Source organism: Homo sapiens, chromosome 20, assembly GCF_000001405.40.
Source record: "Homo sapiens chromosome 20, GRCh38.p14 Primary Assembly".
Taxonomy (NCBI): domain Eukaryota; kingdom Metazoa; phylum Chordata; class Mammalia; order Primates; family Hominidae; genus Homo; species Homo sapiens.
In genome coordinates, this window is record NC_000020.11 from 39,652,628 (window position 1) to 39,663,233 (window position 10,606).

The following is a 10,606-nucleotide window of genomic DNA, read 5'->3' on the forward strand; positions in this document are numbered from 1 at the left end:
GAACCTCTTCCTCCTCCCTGGAACCCCCAAGAAAACTCTCTCCCTCTTAGACGTAAGAGAATGATTTTGAAACCTCAGTCTGATTCCAACACAGTCACCACAGCTGAGAGTTTTGAAGGAAGTCTTTTTCAGAATAGCATTCCCTTCATGATATGCAGAGGTGGTTTGAGTTTTAGGAAATGCCTAATGATAGCACAGGACAGAATTCTAAAGGCACCAGCAAGCAGCAAGCCTATCAGAAATAGTTGAAGCCAGGCATGGTGGTAGGTGCCTGCAGTCCCAGCTACTCAGAAGACTGAGGTGAGAGGATTGCTTGAGGCTAGGAGTTCAAGACTACAGTGCATTTCTGATTGCATCTGAAAATAGCCACTGTACCCCAGCCTGGGCAACACAGCAAGACCCTGTCTCTTAAGATAAAAGCAAACAAACAAAAAACAACCAATGTTGAGGTTACACATTCCCATCAACAGCAAAGCAGATAAATATTACTATTTATTTGGTTGTGTTCTATTTACACAATGAAATACTATACAACAATGAGAACGCACAGTCTACAACCACATCCATACATGAGGGATCTGATGATGGGAATAGTGTTAAAAGAAAGAAAACAGACACAGAAGAGAGTATGGTGTGTGATTCCCTTTATATGAAACGCAACAGGTAGACCAGTCCCCGGTATTAGACATCAGCATGATGTTTGCCCTGGGCGAGGCAGTGACTGGAAGGGTATGTGAGGAAGGCTTCGGGGAGGTGATAATGTTTATTGTTGTTGGCTGTGTTGGTTTTGGGGAAACATTCAGTTTGGGAAGAGTCATTAAGCTGTGCACTTGTGATAAGAGTGCTCCCATAAAAGGTTTTATAAGATTTGGGGGCTGGAAAGATATATCTGTCAGTGAGATTTCTCGCCATCCCAGTTCCCTGTCCCTGCTTTCCTTGGCTTGCGCCCTTGCCCTCTTGGCTTGTCGCATCTCCCTGTGACCTTCCCATGGGCATTCCTCATGGTGAGAAGTAGTGTGGCAGAGTGGGGAAAGACTTGGAAGAGGTGCCACAACACCTGGCTTTGATGCCAGGTTTTACCACATGTGAAGCTCGAGGCAGGCCTCATGCCATCTGTTAAGCTCCAGTTTCCTAGCCTGGTCCTGAAAAGCGGGCTTAGTCTGTCCTCTCTCTATACGTGCTTGGGTGCCCTTCCTCTCACCTCGGTCCTCTAGGTAGCTTTATTGCACCATAGAATAGAGACGTGGGGACTGTGAGCTTGTGGCATCAGGCAGACCTGTGCATAACAAAGCCTTGGGCAGTGATTCTAGATTTCTCTATTCTCTAAGGGAGGCTGACTATTATATAAAGTCATAGCAGGCCCAGCGTCCCTTATTCAAATCTCCAAACAAATGAGACAATTAACTTGGGGAAGTCTCCTAAGCCAGAGCTTCCCGGACAAAACAAGACTATGATTAACAAGTGACAAGGATAGACATCTTACAAACATGAAGCTGGCATTCTCAAAACTTTGGGGGAAATGTGTGCTCTTGAAAAACTCATTGGTACCTTCCATATTATAAATCTGTTTAAAGTGTGCTTGATAGAATTTGTTTTTTTTAAAGAACAGTTGAAAGTGAGGGGAAAAAAAAAAGCTTGGTCCCTGAAACCCAATGGGTTAATTCTCCCCTGTGGCAGAGGAAATGCCAAGCAGCCTTTGGCAGCGTTCTTCCTTCTTTGTATAACAACACTTTCAAGAGCTAGAGCTGGGATCATCCAGTAATGCTTTTAATTTGTGTGTGGTTGCGAAGAGGCCAGGATTTAATCGAAATTGTTAGAATGGCTTTGCTTGGAGTAGCTGAGTGCTTGCAGTAGGGCTAGGAGGCAAGGTAGCGCTGGAATAATTAAAAGAAATACCTAAGGCATCATCATTGCCTGAGTTATTCCAGATACCAGGCTGCAGAGTAAAAATAGTGAAATAAAATTTGTGCACAGTTACTTTTCTATTATACCTCAATTTTCTCTCTTCCCATTCACCTAATAAAAGGAGCTAGGTCTCCATGTTTGCTTAACGGGGTGGAGGCTAAGCCCTGGGAACTGGCTGTTTCTCAGCCAGCCCAGGTGCTCCAAGTTCCTATTTTTATCCTGCTCTGTACTGTGGGTGGTCTGAACTGGCTTACCCTCCTGAATTACATGTAGTACACAGCTGTGCTGAGAACATTTTTCTTGTCGTACCTTCCCTAGGTAATGGGACAGCAAGAGCTCCAAATCTTACCCTCCTGAGTGTCATCCTTAAACAACATGTGAAAAAAAAAATAGTCACAGGAATTGGGGTTTCCATACTTGTCCTCATTTCTATCCTCTTTCTAAAGAGAACCTGTGCCCCCAAGTCCCCAGACAACATATGGTCAAGATTAGGAATCATGTCCCCAAAAGACTAAATAATTCAAGAAAAAACTGAGCACATCTGTGAAGCAGAGATATTCACCTGACTTATTTATATGTTATAAACACTTAAGTGTACCACAGGGGACCAAGCATATGCCAGGCAAGTCAGTCACTCAATCAACAAGGGTTCATTTACCTCTACAAACCATTCAGTTTTTCTTTTCCCCAATACTGCAAGGCCCTGTGCTAAGTTCTAAGGTAAAGAAGAGAGAAAGAGGTGAGCCTTCTATTCTGAAGCCCTGCTAAAAAGTGAGGTATCACACGTGGAAAGGTTTGAGGTAGATGTTTATTCAATGTGTTTGGGCCAATAGGGCACTTCTTTCGCCGTGTGGCAATGTGTTTCAGCACCTCTGGCATCAAGGGTGAAGGCCTTAGCAGTTACCCACAGTGAAACAACCTTTGCAAAAATTGTAACAGTGAGAAAATTATGACCGTGAAAGAGACCCGATCCAACCAATCCCCATCTTGCTTTTAATCTCCAAACTGCCTTTGGTCATTCCAGGGCTTGGGCCAGGCTAACTTTGGGAGAAATTTGATTCATAGTTTTTTATTTATTTATTTATTTTGAGATGGAGTCTCACTCTTGTTGCCGAGGCTGGAGCGCAATGGTGCCATCTTGGCTCACTGCAACCTCCGCCTCCCAGGTTCAAGCGATTATCCTGCCTCAGCCTCCCAAGTAGCTGGGATTACAGGCATGTGCCACCATGCCCGGTGGCTAATTTTTGTACTTTTAGTAGAGATGGGGTTTCTCTACGTTGGTCAGGCTGGGGCCTCCAGGAGTCAGGGTGGTTCTAGGGGACACCATGCACTTGTGAGTGGACAGACCACCAGCCGGAAAACAAAACAAAACAAAACAAAACAAACAAAACAAAAAAACTGAAGAAGCAGTGAGGATGGACCCCCGGTCTCCGAGTGTGAGTGCAGCAGGCCTAAGCAGCCATGGGGATAAGTGGGCACAGTGTGTCCCCTGAACAGCCCACTGTCCTGGAGGGAGCACTGTCACAGAGTCATTGGTCTTATTTAGCCTGGCCCAGAGGATGACCAAATGTGCAGCACTCTGGCTGGAACCTGGTGTCACAATTCTTTCATCTGTTCCCACTCCCTACCTCTTGCCCTCGCCATTTCTCTCTCTTACCTCAGAAAAGCTGGAAACCAGCCCTTCTGCTTCCAGAACGATCTTTTAGTATCTGTTCTGCTGTGCTATGAATTACATTCTCAGTGCCTAGTCCCCATTTCTCCCAGGTACTTCTGGCAAACTCATTTCCTAAATGCCATTTTCGTTTTGGTCATTCCCTTTGCAAAATCTCCCGTGGCTCCTTCATGCTTACAGGTGGAGAGATGAACTCCCTTGCCTGGTATTCAAGGATCTCTACCATCTGGCTCTACCTGGTTAACCTCATCAAATTCTGGAAAGACACATCTATCCGACCTCAGTGATCTGGATTCCTTGGCATCTCTAGGCACTGCATGCTCATTTTCTCTTTTCAACTTTTGTTTATATTGCCTCATTATCTTGAATTCCTCTTTGCTCTTATTTTCTATCCATATCCCATACATGTGCCAAATTCCAGGACGGATTTCTGTAATAGGAGAGAATAGAAGAAAGGTGTATTCATAAATTGTCCTAGGGCAAATCTTGAATTAATTTAGATAGAGAGATTATTAAATAAAATCAAGTAATAATATAATATTAAAATACAACTAAACTATTTCATCACATCGTACATCTAAATAAATTCCAGGTATATTAAAATATTATATTTTACAATAAAAACACAAAAGTTGCAAATAAAATATAGATAAAACTTTTTTATATCTTATTTTATTTAGAGACAGGGTCTTGCTCTGTCACCCACGCTGTGGCATGATCATAGCTCGCTGCAGCCTCCAACTCCTAGGCTCAAACAATCCCCCACCTCAGGTGTGTACCACCAGGCCTGGCTATTTTTGTTAGTTAGTTTTTGTAGAGACAGTCTCACTGTGTTGCCCAGGCTGGCTTTTAACTCCTGGCCTCAAGCAATCCTCCCACTTTGGCCTCCCAAAGTGCTGGGATTACAGATGTGTGGGTCACCATCCCCAGCCCATAAATGTTTTGGAAGTCCCTAAAAAGAAATAGAATTTCTAAAACCCAGCACTTTGGGAGGCTGAGGTGGATGCATCACCTGCAGTCAGGAGTTCGAGACCAGCCTAGCCAACATGGTGAAACCCCGTCTCTACTAAAAATATAAAAATTAGCTGGGCATGGTGGCACGTGCCTGTAATCCCAGCTACTCGGGAGGCTGAGGCAGGAGAATTGCTTGAACCTAGGAGGCAGAGGTTGCAGTGAGCTGAGATCGCGACATTGCACTCCAGCCTGGGCGACAAGAGCGAAACTCCGTCTCAAAAAACAACAAAAAGAATTTCTGAAAGAAAGAAAGAAAGAGAAAGAAAAAGATTAGCAGAGTGACAATAGATAAGCAAAGTCAAGTGGAAAACTGCAAATTGGGTAACTGTTCACACTAAACAAGGCAAGTATCTCATCTTTTGTAGATACCCATAAGAAAACATTAAAGTGTAATTAAAAACTGAACAGAGAACATTAACAAACATTCTACTGCAGATAAAATATAATTAGACAAAGGAAAATAATGCAAGTTAAAGCAGTAGATTCTTTTTTATACATACCAGATTGGCAAAGTAAAATAATAATAGTGATAACAACAATAATTTATGGCAAAAGTGCACTGACGTGGATAAAGCACATATTATCGGTGAGTAAAACATCTGAGAAATCAACTCGACATTTTTCAAGAACCTGAAAAATGATTACACAATTTTATGATAAGTCCATCTATGGATAGGTATTCTAAACTATGTTTATACTAGTGAATATTTGAAAACAGACTAACTCTCTCACAAAAGGAGAATGATTAAATAAATATATGTAAGAGGCAAAATTTGATTCAGTTATTAGCATACTAGTCTCTAGGAATTTTTGATAGCAGGAAAATTAGTCCAGATTTAATATAAGACAAAAAATGGAATAGAAACATCTATGTAAAAACAAACAAAAAGAAATGTCTACATAGCTCATTATCTCAAATACGCAAAAATAGACATGCACACATGTGCATGCACACACACACTCAAATAATATATACTAAAAGGAAATCCACCAAAATGAATTATTAGCTATTCTGTGTGTAGAATCATGAGCTATTTTCATTTTATTATTTATAATTTTTTTTGCAAATTTTACATCAGAAATCTCTATTACTTTAGAATCAGAGGTAAATGAAATGAATACTTTAAAATTTCCAATTAATTTCAGCCACAAAGATGTCAGCATTCTTTAAAGTCCTGTATCGCATACATCCTCTGTACATCTTCCATCTATGCAAGTGTTTATTCTGCCAGTTCTTCAATATCCACTAGTCTTTCTTCTCCATACTAAACAGTAGTTTATTGTAAGTATTGGAAGGAAGAGATCATGTCAGGGGTCCAGTTCACTAATCTTTCCAAGGCCCCATTCCCTTCAGGGAATATTGATGGAGAACTGATAGGGCTGTTTAACAATTAAGTGACACAATTAATATAAAGTACTGTTGACAATGCCTGGCACATAGCAAGCACTCAGGTGAAGACCAAGGCGTTAGGGTCAGGTTGACATGGGTTCAAGCCTGGACTCTGAGATTTATTAGTGACAAGATTTTGAAAAAGCTCCTTGGCCTCGCTGAGCCACACTTTTATTGTTAAGTGAGAATCACAGCAGCTATTGTTAGCAAGCTGCTGTGATGTGGCATGTCAGGTGCTTTTAGCCTAGTGATTGGCTGCAGGAAGCACTTGATGAACAGCTGCTGCGGTGATTCCTCCCAGGAGCAGTGGTGATAGTAGCAGTACTTCCAGTAGTGATTTTTCTTCCCCTGCTTTCCTTGTCACTCCATTTTAGTGGTAAACTTTTTGAGTGCTGAGGTTCTTTGTTAGATCTCATGCTCTGTCCCTTTCTCAGACGGGCATTCAGTCTGGCATCTTTCATTTAGGGGATGAAACATGACAAATTATTTCTCAGTAGCCGAGACGAACCAGCTTTTTGTTGGTAATTCAGGGGCTTCTGAGGGAACAGCTAGTGGGTGTGTGGTTTCCATGAGTCCTCTGAATTCGATGAGAGTGGCCAATGTGTGGCAGCAATGAGTCAAGACACCTGTGCACCTAGCGTAGAGAACAGGTATTTTGCTGGATTTGATTGAAGATATTCTTCCATGGCACCTTATGTTTATATTTTCTATATCGATTATTAATGAAAGATAAAGATCTGTTGACTTGTCTGCATTCCATGATAGACTGTAAGCTTCAGGAGGGAAAGGATCATGTTTCTTTTTTTACTCATCCAACAAATGTTTTGGTTGAACATTTCTCTCTCTCTCTCTCTCTCTCTCCCCACCTGTCTGTCTCTATCTCTGTCTCTCTATCTCTCACTCCATCTCTATGTATGTATGTATGTATGTATCTATCTATCTATCTATCTACGTCTATTTCTCTCTCTCTACCTACCTATCTCTATCTATGCCAGACACTTTGCAAGTTGTTGAATATTCAGTGGTGTACAAAATAATCATGACTTTGCATTCACAAACTCTAGTGGAGAAGAGGGCTATTTCATAAATAAATACACAAATAAGAATATAATTACAACTGGTGATGATTCTTTTTTATGAAGGACAAGAACATGAGCTCCATGAGAGAGAATAGAATTGTGGTGGTGAGAGATTGACCTAATTTAGACAGAGGGGGTCAGGGAAGGCCTGTTGGAAGATGTGGTACTTGAGATTGAGGATGAGTAGTTCTGTCTAGAAGGGAGTGGCTTATTCAGTGCTGCATCTTTGGTTACTACCAATAGCACTATTCAAGAGGATACAACCCTAGGTCCCTTAAGAAAAAAAATTTTTTTAAGTGACTCTTTGGGTAGAAAGTCAGAGAATGAGCTGGGGAAAAAGCACACTGGCCCAAGAAAGAGAAAACTTGGCAAGTCTGCCTGAAGACTGAAGGAGACATGGGAAGAAGAAAGAAGTGTTTAAGACATAGACTGAGTCCCTGGGAAGCACTACAAGTCAGGAACTGCTCATGGTGGCTTGTTTTTGAAAACAGACCCCACACAAAGCTCTGCTGATTGATGGTTTGTTTCAGAATGGTGACACATCCAGAAAACAACACAGACACAATATTTCAAAGTAGAAAAGAAAAATATGTCTGATATCCAGAAATAATTACCAACCAATTGAAATCTATTCTACAGTTGCCCCCAAATGCCAATGGAAACAACATTACATGACTCACAAATTCTTTTCTGTCCGCTGTCTTAGCCAGCTTGGGCTGCCATAACAAAATACTATAGACTGAGTGGCTTATACAACAGAAATTAATTTTCTCACAATTCTGGAGGCTAGAAGTCCAAGATCAAGGTTCTTGCTGATTCATTTCCTGCTGAGGCCTCTCTTCCTGGCTTTCAGACAGCTACCTTCTTGCTATGTTCTCATATGATTTTCCCTTGGTTTGTATGCAAGGAAAGGGAGGGAGAGAGTGAGAAAGTGAGTTCTCTGGAGTCTCTTCTTATAAGGACACTAATCTTATGGAATTAGGGCCTCTCTCTTATGACTCCATTTAACCTTAATTACTTCATTAGTGGGTCTGTCTTTACATACAACCATATAAAGGCTTCAGCATATAAATTTTGGAAGGGGTACAAGCATTCACTCCTTAGGATCTATTTATGTTCTGAAGGTCCCACTAATCACTGCAAAGTAGCTGGGTCCAGTAAACATGTTTTCTGCCTCTTCATGTCTCTCCTTTTCTCAAAACTCAAAATGACCTCAAGTCTTCCCACATCTCAAACCCCATCTAGCCTTAATCCTGTGACCCGTGATCTGTTCCACTCTTTCTAATGTAGGTGTAGCTGGCTTCTCTAGACTTCTCCTTCAGTTCTCCTTTCTGCCTATTGATCATCATAAACATCAAAAAGCCAGGTGTGGTGGTTGCCTATGTCACAAAGGGCATTCTCCTTCAGCAAGCAGGACTGGGGAGTGGCTCAGGATGACTCACATTTTAGTATTTTTCTTTCCATGCTCTTGGTTTGCCATGCCCCCTTTGTCTCCACATCACTTGTCTTACTTGCCCCTGATAGTATTTGAGTGGCACAGACAAAAAGGGAACTGCCACCACCATCAGGTCTCAAGAGCACATTTAGCACCTGCAGAGCTCCGTATGTGCAAACCAATGGCCCAGCACTGACATTTTTGGCTCCCGCTAATTAGCTATTTCCCCTTCCAGGATGGGTACTGCCCTCTGTTTTGCCCAAAGTAAATGAATTAAGTTGTTTCCATACTTGAGGCCAACCCTTTTGTCAGCAGCAGCAACTTAATTACTCTCCCCCTATGAGGCAGAGCTGGAGCTGGTTCAAGTGTTCCACCAATGGCCAGCAGGAGAAAAAAAAAATCATTAGAAAATCAATTCTTATTTAATTGAAGATTTTTCCTCCGAATGGAAATAAAGTGGGATTTATCACTGCAGTAGCCTCACAGCCTGGGTAATGACTGCACTTTTGCCTTTCTGGGTTTCCCTTGGTAGATAAGATGTCTTCAGCACCCAGGCTCAGCAGCACCACACACGCTGACTTCTGAGGGTCTGAGAGAGCTAAGGAAAGCAACAGCCTGGATGATGAATCCACTCAGGATGTGGGCCAAAGCTGTACAACCAAAAGATGATGAGAAACAATGCTTAGAAGTAAGATCAATACAGGAGACTAGAACCCGTTGGTCTCTCTTCTTGCAAGAAATTTAAAATAGCATATTTTTTAGGGCTGCTTATTTCTCTTAAGGATCTGCTATTGCCTATAGCATTGAGACTCCCAGGAAGTGCTGAGTCATGGTCCCCAGCATTTGCTGGGACAAATATGAATTCCATCTAGTTATGGGCACCACACTGGTACTTTGACACTCCAGGAATGGTGACCAGAATGATGACTCACCCAGAAACTACAGCATTGGAGGGAGAATTGAAAGCATTGAGAGCTTTTTGTTTTGAGAAATGAAAGTTCAGAGATGTGAGAGGTGTCTTCAAACCTGTGAATGGCATAGCCTTGCTTTGAGTTGCTGAAATGGGTAGAACTAGGGTACTCCTCACAGGGAGGTGGACCATGATGTATTTAATGCAGGAGCTGTTAACAGAACTGCTTAGAAAAGCTTAGGATTGTGTTTAGGGAAGCTGGATTTGAGGAAGTTAATATTTCAAGGCCACAAATTCCTCCATTATTCCCCTCAAACAAGTGTCTATCTATTTGTCTATCATCTATCTATCTATCTATCTATCTATCTATCTATCTATCTATCTATCTTCTATCATCTATCTATCTACCTATTGATCTATCATCTTATCTATCATCTATCTATCTCAACTGAATGGCAAACCCCAATTCAACAAGCCCTCTATCAAAAGATCCCCTGAGAAATTGTTAGCATAGTATTTGGAGAAATTAGACCATGCTAATATCTATTTTAAAACTTCAGTTGCTCCTGTTTTCTGTAAGGTGAAACTGAGACCATTGGAAGGAGCTGCAATGTCTGTTTTTCACAATGCAACCCTAGTCTACTCCTCTGGTTTATGTCCTTTCCTTCTCTCTCCTATAAGACCTCTTTATGATGCGGACACAGTGATATTATAGTCCTTACCCAAGAATGCTATGCCTTTTTCCATCAGCTTACCTTTGCCCATTGAGAAGGCTGCCTGGAAACCCTTTCTCCCGTTTGCTTTGGGAAATACCTATTCTTCGAGACCCAAATTTTGTGGGTCTTGCCTCTCTGCACCAAGAACAACTCATGCCAGCATTTTAACAGTCTTCATTATTTTATGCTGCAAATTTGTGTTTGTGTGTCTGTCTCTCCCACTAGAGTAAGATCACATTCAAGGATAATAATCCTGTCTTATTATTTTGGAAAAATTGTCTCTACAAGACCTGTTTGAAGGTATCAGATTGATTATCACGTGTTCATGCCCAGAAATACATGAATAGAAATTAGTTTGTACCATGAGTCACACACTTGGAAATAAAATACAAGATAGTTAAATATCAAGTAGAAAAGTGAAAAGAACTTTAAATTTGTCCAAAGGATATCAAATATAATTGCCATGGTAGATCAAGAGCTGTGAA

General features: G+C 41.4%; 1 long non-coding RNA gene across 6 annotated transcripts, besides 1 other annotated feature; it reads right to left on the bottom strand.

The window, feature by feature from the left end:
• Positions 1 to 2,695: 2,695 nt before the first annotated feature.
• LOC102724950 (uncharacterized) lies at positions 2,696 to 8,198 on the bottom strand. Of its 6 annotated transcripts, none has more exons than XR_936711.3 (4): positions 7,836 to 8,198; positions 5,092 to 5,221; positions 3,563 to 4,007; positions 2,696 to 2,824 (listed from the first exon to the last, which is right to left on the bottom strand). It is a non-coding gene; the product is annotated as an uncharacterized LOC102724950 (long non-coding RNA). The 6 variants fall into 6 exon arrangements; XR_001754588.2 differs by lacking the exon at positions 7,836 to 8,198 and adding an exon at positions 5,714 to 5,813; XR_936712.3 differs by lacking the exon at positions 5,092 to 5,221.
• Positions 8,781 to 9,980: an enhancer, noted in NCBI's record as "MED14-independent group 3 enhancer chr20:38290050-38291249 (GRCh37/hg19 assembly coordinates)". NCBI's record gives its function as "activates an origin of replication core promoter dependent on BRD2, BRD4, P300/CBP and CDK7 cofactors, and independent of MED14, by STARR-seq in HCT116 cells {active_cell/tissue: HCT116}" and the evidence as "EXISTENCE:reporter gene assay evidence [ECO:0000049][PMID:35650434]".